The sequence below is a fragment of the Homo sapiens genome, chromosome 11 (genome assembly GCF_000001405.40).
Source record: "Homo sapiens chromosome 11, GRCh38.p14 Primary Assembly".
NCBI classification, from domain to species: Eukaryota; Metazoa; Chordata; class Mammalia; order Primates; family Hominidae; genus Homo; species Homo sapiens.
Window position 1 is genome coordinate 99,158,457 of NC_000011.10, and position 23,543 is coordinate 99,181,999.

The 23,543-nt window shown below is 35.4% G+C and overlaps 1 protein-coding gene across 11 annotated transcripts in view, besides 1 other annotated feature; it reads left to right on the top strand.

The window, feature by feature from the left end:
* Positions 1-23,543, top strand: part of CNTN5 (contactin 5) — a 1,337,937-nt gene that overhangs the window by 137,508 nt on the left and 1,176,886 nt on the right. The gene's annotated exons all lie outside the window — the stretch shown is intronic.
* Positions 7,698-7,867: an enhancer, noted in NCBI's record as "experimental_22004 CRE fragment used in MPRA reporter constructs". NCBI's record gives its function as "activates a minimal promoter by MPRAs in K562 erythroleukemia cells, with activity observed for the non-introgressed 11:99036970 variant allele {active_cell/tissue: K562}" and the evidence as "EXISTENCE:reporter gene assay evidence [ECO:0000049][PMID:34662402]".

Below are 23,543 nucleotides of genomic sequence, written 5' to 3' on the forward strand. Positions count from 1 at the left end.
TTCTACTTTAGAAAATGCCTTTGAGATATCTGTTTTATTAATTGGCATACATTTTGCTTTTCCTGAATTTTTTGACTGTTTAATTTTTTTGCATATAACAAAGGAAACCCCAGTATTAAAAACACGATTAAAATTCCCAAATGAAATGAACGCGAGGTACCTAAGAAAACATTGTTCTAATGAACACATCATTGGGCAATAGGAGAACAAATTTCCTAGGAATATGATTTTATAAAATAAAATAAAGTTTACAGACAACGTAATTCTCTTTAGAACTATTAGAAGTGTTATCAAATACATCTGTAACAGTATATCTTGTGTAATTCTGTTTTCTATTAATAATTATATCAAAGAAGCAACATATTTGGATAATCAACTTATATAAAAATAATAAAAGTAAATACAAGGCTTCAGGGTTATATAAACCTTCAGTAAATTATAAACATATTGAATATTAAAACATTAAAAACTAAATATTACTTTCAATAATTCATTCTTATTACACCAATTTCACTTGGATAATTATAGATGTAGAATTAATGGAATTTAAGAATCTGTTATGCAAGATTACTGCCTGTCCACTTACTGAAACTGAAAAGTTATGTGACTTAGGTCTCAGATTTCTCACATAAAGCATGGAAATAATAACATAATGACTTTATGAGGACTACATTGGATAATGCTTGTAAGATTCTCTGTTTCTTTAGTGCTGGGTTAAGTTTTAACAAATGTATATTTCCTGAAGAGCTTAGATTCAAGTTAGACATATTTTTAAAAATATATATCTAATTTTTGGTAGAGTTACATTATAGTTTATTACACATTTTATCAATTTCAAAAGGGGCAGGCAACATATCTAATACAATATTTAAAGTATAGTAATCTGCCGGGTGCAGTGGCTCACGCCTGTAGTCCCAGCACTTTGGGAGGCTGAGGCGGAAGGATCACGAGGTCAGGAGATCGAGACCATCCTGGCTAACGCGGTGAAGCCCCGCCTCTACTAAAAATACAAAAAAGTAGCCGGGCATAGTGGCGGGCGCCTGTAGTCCCAGCTACTCAGGAGGCTGAGGCAGGAGAATGGCGTGAACCCGGGAGGTGGAGGTTGCAGTGAGCCGAGATTGCACCACTGCACTCCAGCCTGGGCAACAGAGCGAGACTCTGTCTCAAAAGATAAATAAATAAACAAATAAAGTATAGTAATCTAAAAAACTCAAGGGAAGCAATATCTTGAAAGACAATTCTTAAAAAGATTGTTCCATTAATTTTTAAAAATTCAATGGCATAAGGGATAATAAATTCAGCTCTACTGGTAAATTATCACATTAATAACTAGAGGAAAATATAGGAGAAGTACGTATTTTACCTCATAAATTTTGGTTGCTAGTTATTTGAAGTTGTTTAATGATTAATGTCCTGTTCTGTAATATAATAATCTCAACACAAGAATTGCTTTAATTGTCAGAAAATCTCATTTTAAAGGCACTTGATATTTAATATTTATCAACCTCCCACTGTACACCTGGTTATGTCTTAGACACAGGGAGCACAGGTGAACAAAACAAGAGTAGTCTCTGTGTTCATGAGATTTAAACTATATTAAAAGAATTTACACAATTAAATATAATATTAAAACTGTAATATAGGAACGTCTCTTGGTTATTCTGACGTTGAGACTAAAATATTTCCAGCCACTGTTTCATAGAGGACTTTGTAGTACTTGGGCTAGCTTAAGAAATAAAAATGATATAAGCCAGTAGTGTTACTTTCAAACACCAGTCTTAGACTGTTGATAATTTGGGAAATATATAGTTAGCTCATTGCTTATGTTATGACAACATTTGGGGAAAGATTTCCTGAAGTATGTGCAATATTTTGTTTTGTTTAGTTTAGCATATACATTGATGGCAAGTATTCTGCAAAGGACATAAGCTATATGTGGGGTGAAATCATAAAAGTACCTCTTTCCATCATCCTAATAAGTCTGTGAATTGCTTTCTACTTGGCCATGTTTGCACTAGTCTCCAATTTTTACACTGTACCTCACCTAAACATATCACTAGGATTGTCTTAAATGATATATATTTTACTTTTTGCTGTACCGAACTACTAATCACCATTTATACCAACTAATTACACCCCAAGGCACAAAGGGGAGTAAACTTAATTAGTCTGAAACCCCAACAGTGCAGACTTGCCATCTAGTGATGACAGAAGGTAACTATAGATTACAAAAACTGTCTACACATATTTATGGAACACTTACTTTGAAGCACTGGCAAAGATACAAAGATGAGTAAGACACAGAATTTGACCCAAGGAGTTCAAAATACAGTGAGAGGGAGAAGACACAAGCAGTTACGTTTAAGGCAAAAACATTGTTAAATGGCAGAAAGAGATACATATTACATGCCAAGAGAAGGGCAGAAAGATGATGAATGAACTCTGATTGAATAGATCACGTAATTTCCTATAATACACATATGGTATTAATGACTAGGATACTGGGAAACAAGTTTACCAGGTACAAATCTATATATTGCAATTAAAAACTTGTGAATTTGGGGAAAGTTTGTGACAGAAACTGAGTGTAGAAAAAGTGGACCACGGAGGGAACACCATTAGAGAAGAAACCACATCATATTCCTCTCATTTCACTAGAATCTAGAATAGTCCCTGATTGATATCTACATTAATTTAGTTAATATTTGTTTGCATGTTAATTACTGCAAATGTGAGTAGGAAGCATGATTATAAAAAATCTTGAAATATATAGATAGGAATACTTAAAAACTGTTTGTATACAGTATTGAATATTAATATTTTTGAGACTCTATGACAGATACTTCTAACTGCATACCCAATACTTTTTATTTCCTTAATAACAGAATCTTATGTATTTTCAGAGCAGCACATTTAAGGAAATAAACTTCTCCACTTTTTTTTTAATTCTAGGATAGTAAAATGACACAGTTCTGGCCAAGGAGATAAAAGCAGAAGTCACTGAGGGGTGTTTATAGGAGGCCCTTTAAAAGTCTCGGATGGGGATGTCTTTGAGCTCCCAAAACCAATTGCGAGCATGGAGAGTTGCATTGCTCTTTAAGAATGGTAGAGCAGAAAGCTGAAATGAGACCAGCTTCCTGATGACATTATGGAACCATCATAGCAGCCTTGGACTGCCAGATTCCAAAATTCTTATTTAAGTGAGAAAAATATAACCTTAATTTTTCTAAAGCCATTTTCCCCAGGCTTCTATCATTGGCAGCCAAACAGAATTCTGAAATTATACAGACACTGACTAAAAAGTCAGAAACCATTGTAGGTAGCAAAGCATAGATTGAATTCTGAGGATGTTTAGAACAAGAAACTTGCTAATATCATATTGCCACTGAGACTATATTTAATCACACTTTTACCACTGTTGGGACTGCTATTCTCCTCATCACTCTTCAAGTAAAACACTATGCAAAATCCATGTCAAGCACCATTGTTTCTATGATGCCTTACCTAACATCCATTTAGAATTAATCCCTCTTTGTGCTTATCTTGCTCAGATTACTACTATAATACTTATAAAAGTATAGCAGGCAGTGTGTATTGCTTCTACAACCCTAGACTACCCTGGTTAATAGAACCTCCTTTTTTTTTCCTAGAAAGAAAATGTATGTCTGCCCTGGGAGCGTGGCATGGTTGATCTAAACTAAAAAGAGCTATCTTGTCCTGTTTTGATGATATTTGTTTTCTCTGGCTTCTGTGCATAAGACCCAGTTCTCCCCAGTAAAACACCAGGAAGAGAAAGTTGGCTTGAGGGTTCCTAGACATGTTTTTTTTTTCTTTTCATTGATAAAAGAAGAGAGCCTTTGTAGAAAATGCACTTTGTTCTTTCACTGTCTTGCTTCGCTTTTAGATGAACTCCTGGTGCTTGAAGCTACATCATCTTGAGACCATGAGGCAATAAACCTAAGCATGAAATTAAGCATGTCACTGACGGGAAAATTCTGGGTCATGCTTGGTGAATCAAAGACTGAAACCATCTATCTCTGGATTTCAATCCTTGCATTAAAATATACCTCTTATTGACTAAAATTACTGACCAATACAGAAAGAAAATATTTATGAAATTTTCTCAGTACAATATTTTCTTCCTATAATACATTATCTGATATTAACAGACACTATTTTACATACAAAGAAAGAGAAGCTAAGAACATCAAAGTAGCTTGTCTGAAGTTGCACAGCTATGAGGTAGATATTACTTGACTTAGGTATGACTAGTTTCTTCCATTTGATTGAAGATGGCTGTGAATACTCTCTAGCCCCACTCATCAAATAAATGGATTACAATTTTTACCTTGATACTGTATAAATAAATGATCAGTGAATGTGAAGACAGGTAACTCCTTTAATCATGATTCTACAAGAAAGATTCAAGGCAACCATTTGTCAATTTAAACGGGTAAGTTTTACCTTTTGTTTTTAGAAACACAGTGAATTTGGTCAGGTGATAGACTTCTTTTAAGTGTTCTTAATTTGATATGCGACACTCTGCTTTTAGTTTCTCTTTTCACAACCGAAGTTGCCTTTTCAGAAGAAATTACGGAAATAGGAGAGTGAAAATAGGATTTGCTGCTTTTGACAAATCACCTATTGACCTCGCAGGTTGTTCAACAGTTTTTATGGCTCTTGGGTAATTGGAAATTCATAAATAACTCAAAATTATTCATATTAAAATGTTTTCTGATTATTGATTAGGTCACATTCCTTTAATTTTACTGAGATATGACTTCTTAGAAGGAAAATAAATTTACGTTGTTTTCTAGAGTACATTTTATTTTATTTATTTTAAACAAAACAAAACAAAAAGTTTTCTAAGGCCTTAACAAAGCTACTCCTTTTGGTTGAATTAGATACTAGTAAATAAGATTTGTTGTTCACTAGAATAATATTATTTGAGTTATGTATGCTAGTTTTCTCCAATTATTTTAATAAGAAATATTTAATATTTAACAATTTCTCAATTTTCTGTTTTTCAATTAACACTCAATGAAATTAGTTACCAATATTATCAGATCATTAGATTCTCCATTTTAACAAATTTTTAAATAATGTCATACTTTGTTTATATATTTCTTAGTATACTTCTTTACCTAAAGTTTATTTATTTCTAATTTGATGAATAAACTGAAACTTATTTTCCCTGTTATGTTATAAAGTTTGTCATAATATTTAGAGAATCATGGCAGTTTCAGATTTTAATAATCCATATAAGAATTACTAGACATGCTATACATTAAAACTGTGTACAGTTCATTAGCCGGTTTGAATGTCACATTTAACCTCAGCCTACCTTTGTTCCCATGCAGAGATTTTGAGTGTACCACTACTATTTGTGTAAGCAAGTAATTTATTGTTATGACATCTCTTATTTGGAGGTGAAAACAATGCAGTGTGGAACTAGTTGTAAGTGGTTTGTCTTGTTGCAAATTTATTGTATTTTTAGGTCATACATTAACATGACTTTAAAAAGCTCAGCTGACTTATCTGATTAATATGATTGATATAAAATTATGTCAAAAAAATGTGTTGCAATTGGGCAGGGCGCAGTGGCTCATGCCTGTAATCCCAGCAATTTGGGTGGCCAAGGCGGGTGGATCACGAGGTTAGGAGTTCAAGACCAGCCTGGCCAACATGGTGAAACCCTGTCTCTACTAAAAATACAAAAATTAACAGGGCATGGTGGCACCTGTCTGTAATCCTAGCTAATCAGGAAGCTGAGGCAGAATTGTCTGAACCCAGGAGGCAGAGGTTGTAGTGAGCCGAGATCGCGCCACTATACTCCAGCCTGGGCAAGAGAGCAACACTCCATCTCAAAAAAAAAAAAAAAAAAAAGAGTTGCAATTGAAAAATGGTCAGGTGAGAAGTATCTATATACTTACCTAAAGAGCAATACAATACTTTAAAAAACTCTATAATAGCTAGGTTAGAACAAACCAAAAATTAAAAATTTAGAATAAACTGTAATATTTATGAACATTCAATTAATTGGTGCTTCATTTTTAGAACTCCTTCATGTATCATATAGTTACGTAGTACAATTCTGCTCTGCAGAGTAACATACTTACTCTTAATGTGCTTAAATTCAGAGTAAAATTATTTTGAGAAATGAAAATTCTAGTATAAATATTAACATATACAAATATCTATAAGCTGTAAGTACATGCTATTTTCCCTGATAATTTTATAAATAAGAATGTAAAATAATACATGAAAATTGGATAATTGTCATTTTTTCAGACACTGATTATTTCATTATGCAGCACAAGTTGAGTATGATTATGTGTGTGCATGTGTGTGTGAAACATGCATATATTGTATGTTTGGTACACATGTTGTGTATTCATATGTTTATAAGTTAACATAAGATGAGAAAGAGCTCTCGCTGTCTCTCTACATAGCGAGATGTTTGTGTGCATATGTGTGTGTATATATCTAAACAGAAATATGCCATCTTTTTACCTTTGAAAAACTAATATGGGCAATACAACCTTGTCCAGTTAATTTCTTCAATTTTTTTTTAGTTGTTGGGTAACACTAGCAAACATTCTTTAAATAATCTGGTTTATACCAGTGGTTTAATGAATGCATTTTTGGTACTAGAATGAAATTTATTGCAAATGAGCGTTTATCTACCAATCAGTAGTTAATGAGGTTGTAAATCTGATAGTTGTTGTGATTGTTTCACATGTTGTTAAACCATTAATAAGGATTCATAAAACACAGTTGAAAGTTAAGTTTTGTTTATAGAGGCTATCATTCTGAAAACGATAAAAGAGTCATTCACTAAATTTACTAAGTAAGCAATATTTCAGACACAAATTAGGGGAGTCTAATTATTAGGTACAACCAAGTAATATTATTATTTAGGAAGATCAAATTTGGCATGTCAGGCCTTTTGGTAGCATACTAATTGGCATAGTTACACTTGGTTACTAATTAATTGGTTTTACACTAGCCGTCTGTAAATACAGTGTTTCCCAGAGGGGAGAGGAGAGGAAGGACACCAACTTTATTTTTAAATGAACATTTATTTTTGTGCTAATGAGGGTGTTCAGGGGTACAAATGACAAGACCCAACTCAAAGGGTACATTAATTGCCTCACATAGTAATGCAGAGAGAGGACAGATTTGAGAGATGCTTGACTTCTTTGCTCAATTATTTTATAGAATGCAGGGTTTTTGCATTTTCCCACTTTGTTTCAGTGCTTTCCATGGTTAATGTTGGTTTCCTTCTCAGGTCAAAATAAGAGATCGCATCTAGAAATGATAATCCTCCTCCAGTTGAGGCAGATTTTCTTAGAAGCTTCCTAGTATACCAACCTTCATATCACACTGACCAGCTATCATTAGAAAGAAATAAGCAATTTCCAAGATTGACTTAGACCCGTCATCTGAGGTGGGATGATGGTTGAGAAGTCAACATTAATATTCAGCATAATCCACCTTTAAATTTTGTATTATATTAGTACTATATGATGAATGTTTAATCTTTGGGCAGCCAGTTCTTTCATCTGGATATTTACAATTTTATTTCTGAATCAATCTGAAAAATGACCGCCTGAACTATATTTGGTTCCCTACTAGAAGCACAGTGTAAAAATGAGTAATTATGACTGGGCACGATGGCTCACGCCTGTAATCCCAGCACTTTGGGAGGCCAAAGCGGGTGGATCACAAATCAGGAGATCGAGACTATCCTGGCTAACACAGTGAAATTCCATGTCTACTAAATATACAAAAAATTAGCCGGGCATGGTGGCACGCACCTGTAGTCCCAGCTACTCTGGAGGCTGAGGCAGAAGAACCTCTTGAACCAGGAGGCGGAGGTTGCAGTGAGCCAAGATTGCGCCATTGCACCCAGCCTGGGCCACAGAGCAAGACTCTGTCAAAAAAAAAAAAAAAAAAAAGAGTAGTTATGTTAAGACTCCAAAGGGTTTGAGCATAGTGTAAAAATGGGTAATTTTCCTTAAGCCTCTCAGGAAAGGAGTTCCAGTACTAAGCCAAAACAAAAAAATTGTGTACTAAATGTATACTAGAGGGAGTAAAAGACAACCTGAATGACATAGAATAATGCATGCAAGGCATTTATAGACTTTCTTTGATTTTATATCCTCCATTAATTTTGAAAATCATCAACTTACACTGTCATAACATATTAAAACTTGAACAATAGTTATACAGCTGACACAGTAATGTTTTGATATGCTTGTCATATTTACAGTGGTCACAATTTCAATTTTTCCTTTTTCTTTTTTTTTTTGGTTTTTGTTTTTTCATTTCACTGTGGTCATGGTGACCCGTAAGCCCCAGATCTGTTTGAAGAACATATTTCGTTGAATTACATTTGATTTAATTTCATGTTTTCATTGAAAAAATCCACACGAAACAGCCTTAATGATTTTAAAATGTTGCATAATGTTATTTAAAACATTATCCACTACATTTTTGTAAAGCGCAAGTGAATACTTACCTTTAGAGTTAATTGCTTGAAAAGCTTTGCTACTTCTGAGGCTGCTGTGTACTTTTTCTGTATTAATTAAGAAGTATGTGACAGGAATATGGTTCTTTTTGTTTTGGTTGTCTGAAGTTTTACAGCCAAATTTAAGAATGAACCATAATTTTTATAAATAAAATTAAAGCTTGTAAAACATTTTATGTTATTTTTATCTCAATCTTAACATTCGGATTTGGGTTCTCTGTGGTTCTGCTGTTTCTAAAAATATTTTGTTAGACTTGATAAAATTCCTACAAACTGACTCATAATTTAGTGTTAAAAGGGAAGAGGTAGATAGACATAGATAAGCAGATATATTTTGCATTATGTAAATTATATAGTTAAATTGATTTTTCCTAGGCTGGTATGTAAAAAAGTAGGAATTATACAAATATTTGCTATTATTATCAGTGGCTAATTTGACCAACACTTATACTGAACTAGCCTATGATTATTTTTATTTGTACTGTAAATGCAGCTACAGAATATATCATTTTATTAAAATTAAATTTTAGTTGCTATGATACTTGAGAGTTAATTACATTTGTGATATGCTCTATTGGGAATGCAAAATCTCATATGAGGCAAAACCAAAATTAGAATTTCTGTTACTCTCTTCATAGTGATCCATTATCTAACTAACACTATCAAGGATGGGGTTTTGTGAGTGACAATGGGGTGTGAAAGAACTTATGAATTTATTCATTCTATAATTAATATAAGGTAAATGAACACATCTTTAATATATCAAGATCTAATATGGCTCCAGTATAACTTTTAACTAAGTTTCATCATAATGTATCATAATCTATTTTGATATAACTATAATGAGATGAGGCTTGAATATCAACAGCTATATGTAATATTCACAACATAAAATTTAAAAAATTAGATCTGACCCCAAAGCCTATTTTTAAAAATTTATTCTTATAATGATTTTTTTTTTTTGGAGATAGCATGTCAATCTGTTCCCCAGGCTGGAGTGCAGTGATGTGATCTGGGTTCACTGCCTCTTCCACCTCCTGTACTCAAAGGATTCCCCCCACTGCCTGCCAAGCCTCCCAAGTAGCTAGGACTACAAGCACACACCACCATGCCCGGCTATTTTTTAATATTTTTTGTAGCGACAGACTTCCACCATGTTGCCCAGGCAGGTTTCGAACTCCTGGGCTCAAGTGATCTGCCTGCCTTTGCCTTCCAAAGTGCTGGAATTACAGGAGTGAGTCACCACACCTGACCATATGAATGTATTTTTGTACAGGAAATGTACAAGTTGAGGCTGGGTGTGATGGCTCACGCCTGTAATGCCAGCACTTTGGGAGGCCGAGGCCGGGGGGGTGGGGGGACGGCAGGTCACAAGGTCAGGAGTTCGAGACCAGCCTGGCCAACATAGTGAAACCCCGTCTGTACTAAAAATACAAAAATATTAGCCAGGTATGGAGGCATGCACCTGTAGTCCCAGCTACTTGGGAGGTTGAGGCAGGATAATCGCTTGAACCCAGGAGGCAGAGGTTGCAGTAAGCTGAGACCACACCATTGCACTCCAGCCTGGGTGACAGACTGAGACTCCATCTCAAAACAAAACAAAACAAAACAAAAGGATAGGAAATGTACAAGTTATGGCTAGAAATTCTGAATATATCGTAACTACCTTTGATAAGACAAACAGAAATGGTGTATTTTTTCACTGAATTATCACAGACAACACAGAACAATACTGGTAATCAAACAAACATTAAGGCAAAATTGAATAAAATATATTAAAATGTGGCAACTATTAATGCTTACAGAAAAGCAAGCACATATGGAAGAAGAAGAAATAGAGGATATCTTTGAAAGATTTTTCTTGGGAACATAGCACTGAATTCTAAATGAGCAGATCTGACTTTGATTTGAACATTTGTGCTTATCAGCTTTTAACCTTTGTGGAAGTAGCAGAGGCTCTCTGAGCATGATGCTCACCTGGAACATGGTGTTAGTTTCTATTCTTTCTTCGCACAACTGACATGAAGAACAAATATTAAAGAGCTTTATGAACTGTACATGTAGGACTTAGTCTTTTGTTCTTTTTGGGTTAATTAAGGAGTGAAATAAAGACTGGGAGTAGCATCTCAGGCCTCATAAACAAAACATGGCCGTTGATACTAGAACACAGATACATGTACTTTGCCCTTATTTTAGAAAACTTTTTCTGTTTGAGAAAAATTACTCATGACTTAATAGTTATGGCAGGCTTCCAGAGTGATCCCTGAATATTCATATACTAGTAGTTGTAAATAATCTAGAGGTCCTGGAATTCCTGTGCTATTTTATAGTCATGACTTGGAGAGATGATATAAATAAGCATGTAGATATGCAATAAGCTATATGTGTGTGTGTGTGTGTGTGTATTTAGTATAGATAATTTTCCACATATGCCCATAATACGTACATATGTGTGTATATATGATTTTGTGAGATAACACTTTAAGAAATATGAAGAAGAAATGAAAGAGGAAAAGAAAGAAAGTAGGTTGATGAAACCTATGAGCCATTAATAAGAAGAATAATGATCCTTACAAGTATTTGATCCACTGAGGAAAGAGAAGAAGCTGTTGGATTACCACTGTCTTTTGCATCGGCTCCTTAATAGAAGTGATGGCCCAAGACGAGACAGTAGTAAGGGGTAAAGAGAAAGAAAATTTCAAAAAGAGGAAGATAAAGGGTTTACATGCAAATGATTAAACTCATAGTTTTATATAAATCACTTTAGTCGGTGAAAAACATTATCTCCCTAATGTTATACATAATCCTCACCTCAGAGATAACATAATGTATAAAACTAGGGATAAAATAACATGCAAAGACTGAAAGTTTATCTAGGTATAGAAATCATACAGATAACTGAGTAAACATCCTGTAAATATTTCAGTTAAATAATTACATAATTTTTCAATAAAGAAAAGCTGTATAATGTATAACGAAAATTAATAGTCAATGGGAATTTGGGGAAAGACAAAGATTACTTCTTGTTTTCCAGATGGTAATCACTAATATTGTGTATCAGTTTTTTTGTGCTACATGTTATGAATATTTTATATTTTATTTGTTTATTTTGCATGTTATTTAATTTATCAATATATTATAGGTTACTAATATTTTGTGTATATATGGCTTACGTTTATATAGCAGATAATATATATGGAACCAAGCACTGCTCTAAGTGTTTCAGTAACTCACTTCATTCTGTCAGCAATCCTATGAGGTAGATTCAGATCAAGAAAATGAGGCTCAGAGAGCTTAAGTATCTTTCCCAAGGACGCACAGGTTAATATACACAAAGGTCGCAGTCAGATGTGTACCAAGGAAGGTTGAAAACCAGCAGCAGGCTCTTATGACAGGTGGGTCTAATCTTGGCTTTGTAATTTGCAAGATGTCTAACCTAGGACAAATCACTTTATCTCTAAGGGGCTTATTTTTCTAAGGTCTAAATAAGTAAATTGCATTAAATGATCTGTAAGATTGCTTCTAGTTCTGTTACGCCTATGTCTTGGAATCAACGGATTCCCAATAGTAAAAAGGATATAATGAATATCTTAATTGAGATAGGGTGAGCCAGAGAGGGAAAAATAACATTTAAAACAGCATATGTTTCTAGGTTGCAAAGTAGAACAGAAGCATTTTTTTGTTTTCTATTACAAGTGATTTGTAAGTGATTAAGTAAGGCTGAGGAAATGCATATTCAATTTTATTTTACTTCTTAATCCAAAGCAGACTGCAGGCTCCAGGCAGCTGCCACATTAGCATTTTGCAGGCACACATATAAGTTCAATTCCTTATAATCCTGTTTTCTCAGTGCTAAATAGTCAGTGATCATGAAGTCATGGTGTTACCACAAAGCTAAGAAAGTAATGTCATGTCAATTTACAACCTTTAGAAACACATTTCTAAATTAAATGGAAAGAATATGCTAATGCAATATTAAGGCTGCAACTTTAAAAATAGAAAGTCAAGACCTACAGAAGTTATGGTTTTCATTATCATCATTAACATGACTGCATCACATACACTGAATATATTAGTTTTTTTTTCTTACCTAACTTGTAATCCAAAGTATTGCACGTATCTAACTTAATATTATTTGGGAGAATTCTTGCCTGCATTTCATGAGTTTTGTACTTTATACTTGAATGCTTAACTTTATTTAAAAATGTATTTCATAGATACATATGCCATCAATTATTAATGTACTAATAAAAAACAAGCAACATTATATACTACTAGACCACACACAAAATTTGCATAGAGAGTGATGTCAAAATTTGTATGTACACAAGGATGTTTTTCTCCAATACAAAAGTTTTAACTGCCTAATTTTGCTTCGCAGATTGCTTATATTCTTCTAAATCTTTTCTGTCTTTCGTACTGTCTCATCTGATCATTCAGTTCCTCCTCCTTATTCCTTGGTTACCCAGCCAATTCCTCATTGTCATGTAACACGTACTCCAGTTTTTTTGCTTTTTAACCACTGTTCCCCATAAAAATTTACCTGCTCTATGTCCTGTTTCCTTGTAGTTTGTTAGATGATGAATTTCTGAGTCAGCTGAAGTAGAAACAAGACAATCAAGTCACCTGAAGTGCTTCGAAAGAATTACTAATGCCTACTGAATCAGAACTTTTAAAAATGATTTTCAGAATATGCATTTAAGAAAAAAACTCTTCGTGTTATGCCAGTGTTTTCTCTTGTTAAGAACCATTTTGCTCAGTGTTTCCATGACACTTTTATTATTACTCTTTCTGTTATTATCATTAAAGTATTAATAATCAATAATTACAATATATTGGCACTTTTCAGTTACAGTAGCATTTTCAGAATACTTTGAGGATTTTAGTCCCAGAGAATGAATAATACGCGAATTTCATTCAGGAGCAACGGAAAGTTACTTCCGAGCACAGGGACTCAAATTGATGTTCATGTGGCCAAGTACTAATGAAATTCCTCAAAGTGAGCAATTTCATTTTGAAGCCAGAAACATAACCATTATATAAATTCATGTCAGCAAATACAAAAGGACATTTAGAAACAGATCTTTACATGCTTTATATGCAGAAGGCAGATATAGTGAGAAGCAGCGTGTCAGAAACTTTGGATAACCGTTGCAGTTCTGCCTCTGTGGCATAGTGATATTGCTTAAATCATTTAAAATCACTAAGACCCAGTTTCTTTTTATACAAAAATAAGATAATTACACTAATCTCTGAGTAACTGCAAAAATGACTGATGGATACTGTGTGAAAATGTTTGGTAAACATAAATGCAATTTATTTATAAGAATATCATTGGTATACATTTAAATGTAAAGAATTGCGTATCCAAGATTTCCATTTTGTTTAATAAGTTCGTTTAATTAAATTAATCTTTTCCTCTTCATCAAAAAAATGTATTGCACCTTTTGATGAGAAAATTGTGCCTAATATTTTTTATTGAGACATCTGTGGAATAATGAAATGAGCACCAAACTTGAGTCAGAAAATTTTCATTGATACATTAACATCTCTGAAGCTCAGTTTTTGTATCTTAAAAATGTTGCAATATTTTCTCACCTAAGTTAATTGCAAGATTTGAAATAGGTAAGTTTTGTGAAGTAACCAAGTAGAGAATAAAATATTAATTAAATAAGCACAACAATGAATCTATAGTTATGAACAGGCAAATATTCCGAATGAAAGAAGTTGACTTCTAGAAGGACACTTAACAGAGAAATCTGTCCTAGTTGGGGAATTAGAAGTGACACTTGAGCCAAGATCTGAAAAACTGTACACCAGTGAGAATTTGTTTCCATCATGAGCCAAGGAGATTTCCAAAATAGTAACTTATTTGAGATTTAAGTATAATTCTTGTATTAGTCTGTTTTCACACTGCTTATAAAGATATACCCGAGATTGGGAAATTTACAAAAGAAAGAGATTTATTGGACTTACAGTTCCACGTGGCAGAAGGCAAGGAGGCGCAAGTCACATCTTATGTGGATGGCAGCAGGCAAAGAGAGAGCTTATGCAGGGCAACTCCCATTTTTAAAACCATCAGATCTTGTGAGACCCACTCACTGTCATGAGAACAGCATGGGAAAGAGCCATCCCTATAATTTAATCGTCTCACACCTGGGTTCCTCCCACAATATGTGGGAATTATGGGAGTCACAAGATGAGATTTGGGTGGGGACACACAGCCAAACCATATCAATTTTCCCTCAAATAAGAGGACTTTTTAAGTGGATAGTCTATGGCTCATTTGGTAGTAATGCTAAGGTATTCTGGGACTTCTAAAAGCCTCAGGTTGAGGCTGTCACCCACATGGTCCAAAATGCTAGCTAGAACCAAGCCATCCCAAGTACATTCAGCCAGTAATGGAAAAAGAGAAAGAAGACATAATGTTTTACTTTAAGGAGACTTCTCTATATGTTCCACAATATTTCTTACTAGATATTATTGGTCAGATTTTATTGTTAGAAGGACAGCTGATAAATATCAAATTCATACTGAGAAACGTAATGGTTATAAGGCAGGTTTCTGTTCATTGGGGCAGACTGGGACTAAATACATAGTTATCTGTCATATTTGTCAAAATGATCACAGAACAATTTTCTGAACAATTATGTGGATTATTACATAGAAAAGGTGAGAAGAAGGATTGAGAGCAGGCTAGAGAAGACATTAGGGTATGTCATAAGTGACTGTTTTAGACTCAACAATCGGAATCAGAGGGAACATAGTCAAATTCCTACTTTAAAAAGACTACTTCGCTATTTGAATAAAATATTTAATGGAGCCATCAAAGCCTGAATATCAGTTATTAGGCTATTATGGCAGCCCAGACAAGAGAGATGGTAGCCTAAGCAAGGATGGTGGCTCTATAATTTTTTGATACACTTAAGAGCTATTTAGGAGGTTAAATCTATAGAACTCAGTATTTTAACTATATTAAATATAAGGAAAGAAGAAGCGTCAAAAATGCCTTTTGTGTGTGTGTGTGTGATGGAGCCTCATTCTGTCACGCAGGCTGGAGTGCAGTGGCCGTGTTCTTGGCTCACTGCAATCACCGCCTCCCAGGTTCAAATGATCTTCCTGCCTCAGCCTCCCGAGTAGCTTGGATTGCAGGTGCCTGCCACCACGCCTGACTAATTCTTGTATTTTCTGTAGAGACGGGGTTTCACCATGTTGGCCAGGCTGGTCCCAAACTTCTGACCTCAAGTGATCTGCTTGCCTTGGCCTCCCAAAGTGCTGGGATTACAGGCATGAGGACTACGCCCAGCGAGAATGACTTCTAAGACACTGTTTCCTCTGTCTCTGTCTCTCTCTCTTTCTCTCCAATTAGACTTGGTTATATCATTAGCAAGATAAAGACTATTATAAGATAATGCATTTTTAACTTAGTGAGCTCAACATGGTACCCGTGATTTCCAAATGAGGATAATTCATTTCTTCCTAGCCTTTCAGAGTAATTCATTAACTGGTCAAGCTATCCGAATTTCAAATTCTGTCTAGTGTTAAAAACTCTTTATCATACCCCATAGACTACATGGAGGACAGTACAAAGTCCATTTTTTCTCATATTGGCAACAGTGTAGAAGTCCAGAATCAGGCTCTACTAATTGAAAGTCCATTTGATATAGTGAAGCCATTTCATAATTGCTATGTCACTATGCAAATGTTAGGCACTATTATGCCCATAATTTATTATTTAAATACTATCCATTCTAGTTATTAAATTGGTAATTTAAATTATATATTATACATAAAATATATTTTTCATTAATTAACTTATTAATGCGGTAATCACAGAATTTTCCAACTATTATACTTGTTATGTGATAAAATTGTATCTGTGGCTATGTAAAAATTATAATTTCTATCTTTAAATTCATATATAGTTATTAGCTCTAATGTATTCAAAATCTTAGGGTTTAAGGCCAGGCATGGTGGCTCATGCCTGTAATTCCAGTGCTTTGTGAAGCTGAAGTTGAAGATTGCTTGAGGGCAAGAGTTTGAAACCAGCCTTGGCAACAAAGTAAGACTCTAGTCTCTGCAAGATATGAAAAAAGAAGCCAGGTATGGTGGCATGCACCTGTAGTCCTAGTTACTTGGGAAGCTGAGGCAGAAGGATTGCTTGAGCCCAGGAGCTCAAGGCTGTAGTAAGCCGAGATCATGCCACTGCACTCCAGCCTGGGCAACAGAATGAGACTCTGTCCTCCCAAAACAGAAAATAAAAAAATAAAAAATAAATAGGGTTTATTACTCATGAATGTTCATGGTCTTGTACCAAACTGTCATGTGGAAGAAAGGACAACATAGCTCTGTGAAAATGAAGAGAGAAGAAAAGAGGAAGACAGAGAAAAGGTCAGATAATCACAATTGAAGGCACAGTGGGAGCAGGAAAAATCCAGACTGTTCTAGCAACCTTTAGAGCTTACTAGAAGGAAAGGAAACAGGAGTTTGTTTTAGAAGTGATGAAGAGATAGTTTTGTTTGATTAAAAATGGAATCCTATTCAGGAAAACTCACATGAGAAGAGACAAGATATGATGTGGGACCAGACCCCAGATAATGAAGCAGGAGTTCATATCCCAACTCATTAGGAACACTAAATGAAAAATGTCTTCTTCTTTCTGCCAGAGATCTTGGAAACCCCAGAAAAACTTTCCCTATTGATGGACCTCGCATCTACCATTAGATAAACTGCAAAAATTATAGAGGGGTCAGATGTAATTTTGGCATGATTATTTAAGGGCTCTTTCTCAACAATTTTAAATCTTCTAAGTTAAAGAGATAACCTAGGAGAACTGCAGCTACTAGATGGTTGGAAATTATGAATTTGGATGAATAAACATGATGGGTATATTACATACAAAATTGGTATGAATTATTTGAAGATTTAAAAGTTTCAGCTGGTTTGGTTTCAGTGATACTACACCACAACTCAAGACACTATTATCTCAAGTCCATGGTTCTAGCAATTATTTTCTTTCTTCTCCACAAAACAATGCTTACCTTGTTTCTGGACGGTTTATTTGCTCTTGCAAGGTTCCCACTTAATTACATCTGCTAAACCCAATGGCAAATACTTAGTCCTCATGTTCTTAGAAGAATGATTTGTGATACTGTTTTCCATTCATTTTTTGTTGTTTTAGGAAATCACTTTGTCGTGTTTCTTTTTTCCTACAACATGAGCCATTCTTTTTTTTTCTTCCTTTAGATGGCTCTGTCCCAGACCGAGAGGTTAAGAGACATTGAAGACTTTCAGTGCTTAGTCATTAGATTATTCCTGTTCTCTGTGCTACCTCACTTCCTTGACATAGAATACCATCATGGATGACTTCTACATTTATTGCTCCAGACCTTTCCTTAAACTCCAGATTTGTGTATTCAATTGTCTGCATAACCTCACTACTTGAATGTATAATAGACATCTCAAAATGGATACTTCCAAAATCAAACTCAAAATCAAAGTCAAATAATTTTCCTTCCAGATTTTTATCTCCTCCTGTTAGACTTCCCCATTTCTGTAAATGGCAACTCCACATGTCCAGTTGAGAGTTGTGCAAGCCAAAAGCCTTGGAGTCATTATTAGCTTCTCTTTTTCTTACACATCATTTCCAGTGTGTCAGCAAATTGTTATGATTCTACATTCAAAATATTTTAGATTCTAATCATTTCCCACCACCTCCACCACTACAACCCTTGGTTAGATGCCATCACTTCTCTGTATCTTTGCAATAAAATTCTAATTGGTCCCTGAGCTTCCACCTTTGACCTGCCTGCCACCACTCAGTATGTTTCCATCACAGTAATCCCAAATCAGATTCTGTCACTCCTCTGCTTAAATTCTTCAGTGACTTCCATTTTTTTTCAGAGTCTAAACTCTCACAATTTACAGAATTTGACCTGATCTTGGCCCTTGTTTTTACCTTGACCACATCTTATACTTTTATTCTACTATCTAGCTATGTTTGGTCAACTCTGACCTTCCCACTGTAAATCAATCCAGGTCTTGAACAGGTCAAGGACCAGGTTTGTTTCCCACCTTAGGGCATTTGCAACTCCCAGTCCCACTGTCTGGAACATCTTACCATGGATTCTTCATGGAAATAAACCTTATTCCAAGCTTTTTTTCTGGTGCCACCTTCTCAGTGAGAGCTTAAGATCCTGTTTAAAAGCGGTATCTTCACTACTCAATACTTCTGGTCCCTTCCTTGCTTAATTTTCCTTAACACATCACCACCTGACTCTCTAAATATGCTATTTATTTATTTGTTTATTTTTGTCCCTCTCCACTATATAATGTCTATATAGTGTCAGAAGATGGAATAGTGTCTCGCACATGGTTGACACCCAGTAAATATTTGTTGAATGAGTGAATAAATGAATGAGTTAACCAATGAGACATTTAACGAAATAGGGCTATTGCTATCACATCTGAAGCAGATAAGGTGGAAAAGCCAGAAAGCAGGATCTGTTTGTTTTCATGAAAATCACTTTTATGTGTTTCTCTTCAAGTAAGGGTTTTGTTCTCACACAAAATCTTGGTGTTATGCATGTCTATGGTTCATCGAAAGATTTGGAACAGGCTGTGTGGGATTAGTCAGTCAATCAGACTGAAGAGGAGCTCTGGTAAGTACATAGTTACGTGTCTGGAATGTGTAGCCTATACAGAGAGAAGGAAAAAAATGTATATATGAAAAGTGAAGGAACTTTCTACAGTGGCCAAGTTGTCACAGTCCAGAGGCCTGGGGGCTGTTTTTCATGAAAAGACCAAAACAAAGTGCAGGATGCTACACAAATAAAGAAAATGAATTCAGCAAAGTCATATAATACATGTACATGAAACAAAAGCACAAAGTCAAAGAAATTCTATAGAGTTCAGAGACTAAGATTAACATCAAAAGCAGCAGCAGCAGTCAACTTTGTAGAGAACTATATGAAAACAGGACAAGATCTTAAACTGGAATGGCTGATCTTGGGGAGAAAAATCAGAGAATCTTGAAGTCCCTGCTATGTTGTAATATATTAAAACACTATCGATTATGTAACCGTACATGAAGTGAACAGGAAAGGAAAGTAAAAAGACAGAAACAAGACCTACAACTAAGAAATGGTATAGACTCAACTAGCAACTAAAACAAACAAACAAACAAACAAACAAAAAACTAGCAACTCTAGGCTGGGCACCATAGCTCATACCTGTGATCCTAGCACATTTGGAGGCCAAGGCAGGAGGATCACTTCAGCCCAGGATTTCAAGACCAGTCTCAGTAACAGAGTGAGACCTCATCTCCACACACACACACACACACACACACACACACACACACACACACACACACACACAAAATTAGCCAGGTGTGGGGCTGTGCACCTGTAGTCCTAGCTATTCAGGAGCCTAATGTGGGAGGATTGCTTGAACCCAGGAAATTATAGCTGCAGTGAGCTGTCATCACACCACTGTACTCCAGCCTGGGTGACAGAGTGAGACCTTGTCTTAAAAAAAAGAGAACGAAACCTAGCATCTTTAGAGACAGGAGAAATAAGTGTCATTAATGCAAATGGTGTTTATATCTATAATTAATTGGAAAAATGTATACAGATTTACTTTACAGTAAATTTTAGTTAGAATAATGTCTTCACAACCAAATAATTTAAATCATATTAAAAATAAGTACTGTGTGACATTTAGCAAATTTACCTTTTTGTGACTAATTTCATTCATCTATAAAATGGGTATTATGAGCTTTAATAATCTTTTCAATTCTAATATTATATAATTATTTAATGTAAATAAAGATTATTAGCTGTCTGAAATATGTACTTTGGAGTAGAAAATAATCCATTAATATGCATTTAAATACCCAAATTGTGCCAGAAACTGAAAGTATAAGTTGAAGTAAAATATGATGTTATTTAAATAGAAACAACTATGGGGACAGGGTTATAAACATAAATACACACAGAGATATACACACATAATATATACAAATGTATTTACATTCCTGTAAAACATGGAAATGCATATATCTGTGCCTTTATATATTAAGCATTATATACCTTCATATAATAAACAGTAATTGTATTCATTACACTTACTGAAATATAAATTGAAATTTAATGGCTGGGCTGCTGGTTGGCCAGGTGCAGTGACTCACGCCTGTAATCCCAACACTTCGGGGGGCCAAGGGAGGTAGATCACTTGAGGTCAGGACTTTCAGACCAGCCTGGCCAACATGGTGAAACCCCATCTCTACTAAAAATACAAAAATTAGCCGGGCAAAGGGGTGCACACCTGCAATCTCAGCTACTTGAGAGTTTGAGGCAGGAGAATTGCTCGAACCTGGGAGGCAGAGGTTACAGTGAGCCAAGATCGTGCCACTGCACTCCAGCCTGAGCGATAAAGCGAGACTCCCTCTCAAAAGTAAAAAATAAATAAATAAAAAATAAACAAAAACAAACATAAAAAACAACAAAAAAAGAAATTTAACTAGTTTTACCTAGTTCATATAGATATTTCTAAAGAGTTAATGTAATTTTATGGTTACATTTACCCCACTCCTACAACTCAGGATGATGCCATATGATCCATATGCCCAAAGGCTGTATCAAAGGATAAAATAGGATTATTTCTAATTTAATTTAGACAGTCACATCACAATAATTTCCACACTTGCCTCAGTTTGGGTGCTGTTCATATTGTGTTTAATTTCATGTTGCTACATTCTCTTTGAGACATAAGTGTTACAGATATCTTCTGTAGTAATGTAGCCAAATAAGATTTTGTGGTGATGGTAGTTTGTGTGTGTTCCTGTGTATGTGTGTGTTGGGTGTAAGTGACTTTAGATAGAACTCATATCCTTCAAACATTGAAAAGTCAACCACTATTTTTATTCAGTTTGCGTTTTTGTATTATGTTTTAGTTACTGTATTCAAAATATTATATTCTCTCTATATCTCCCTGAACAGCATATTTTATTATAGGTATCCTTACCTTTAAGTAGTAATAAATGTTTTCGACCTAGTAAGTTCCTGTTCTGTGTGGGAAACACGGGAGGGAGAAGAAAAGACACACACACACTACCTTAAAGGGTAAAAAACCTTTATCCCATGTAAATGGCAATGCAGATGTAATGAGCAAATGATATAATAAGCAGATTGATATAATAAGCAAATGATATAATAATAAGCAGATGATACAGTAAGCAGATTGATATGATAAGCAAATTGCAATGGGAAAGGGAGAAGGGAAAAGATATTTACACTCACCAGACTATGGAGGATTCACCACCAGACTGGGAAGCAACAGTCTCGGCTCCAGAGTTGGCCACTCATGTCTGTGCACAGGCGAGGAGAGGTCTCATGAAGTTTCGGCGCAGTCTGGGACCCTAACTCTTTTTGTAATGAGTTGTTTCGCATAAGGTCCAGTCAAGAGGGCTCTTTGTGACTGGGCTCAAGGAACACAAAAAGGTCAACTTGTTTTTGTGATTGTCTATTGTTTTCCGATAACTAACATATAGGAATAGATTGAAATAGAGATTTCTCTGAAACAGTGCTGGATGAATGCCTCAAGGAGCTCACACAACCTGTTTCGGGACTTGGTGACTGTTGTTTGTGTCCATGTTCAATTGAGTTCAAATTTAATATTTAACTTTCCCTTCACAGTCGGCCTCCATCTGATACTCAATTGTAGGAAAATACCCTTACAGATACATAGGGAAGGCATAGTCGATATAGATTACAGATACGGGGTAAGCACAGGAGAATTAGAAGCACAATTAATAAAATACCACACCCACCATGGCTTTGCAAGGAGAGTCATATTGTGAGAATTGCCAGTGATATACACATAAGATTCAATATGCAGTAAATCACAAACCCCTCCTTGGGCTGCGGTACGCATATCTAATGCCATTCGATTTTGCAACATAACAGTACGCAGCTGAGCAAATTCATCTTATAACAACGTAAGTCCAGTGCTACTATCATTAAGAGCTTTTTGTACGTGTAAGCTCAATATTTTAATTTGTTGCTGAAGCAGGATTGTACCGGTGGCAGGGGAGAATACTGTGATGGGGTACCACCACCAGGGGGTCTGGTGCATTCATAATCAGTGATGTTTGTAAGCATCTAGATTACTGGGGAGGGGACTATTATCCTGGATGTTGAATGTAATTAATGGCCACCCTGAAGTGCATCTCCCCGTCCAAGTGGGGGCAGGTATTGCCACCCGTAGGATCCACGTGCCCAGAGGGCGCCCAGGGAACAGGAAGAGTTCTACTATAATTGTATTGCTGTCATGTGTAATTTAAGTAACAAAGGTGCTGTGTCTCATTTGGGTTTGGGCAAAATAGACTGTTTGGTTAAAAGAAGTCCAGGTTGGATTACAAGTGTTATTATCCCACCCCCATTGGTATTGGCATATCCATCCAGAAATGTTAGCAGGGATGATTCTCCAAGGTAGCCCATTCCTGGGGGCCTCCCGCGGCAACTCCACACATAGCCAGTACCGACTGCAGTTGGCTTGCGTTGCAACGGTGGCTACCCAGTTGATGAACTCATTCTCAGCCTAAGACATGATGACCCAGGTACTGATTACTAGCAGACAGGTTATTCTCTGTAATAACAAAAATGGAGGGGAGGATGCATTATTTTTCTTCGTTAGGAAATAGTACTATGCCTTCATTTTCTGCCCCTATAGCTACAAGGTCACAAGCCTTAGGGGCAGGATCTGATGGACACTGTACCCATATTTTGGCTCCAAGATTTAAGTTGCCCCCTTTGGTGGACCTGAATTCTCCGGTTCTGTATGTTATTTCTATTGGGGCAGAAATTTCCTTGGGGGTTAATTGTTGACAAGGTACCACTAACAATTGAGCAACCCGCATCTGAGGTTATATAGCAAAAGAATCTGGAGTGGTATTATATAAAATGACCTTTAACTCTCCCTGGTAATCACTATCAATTATATCACCATA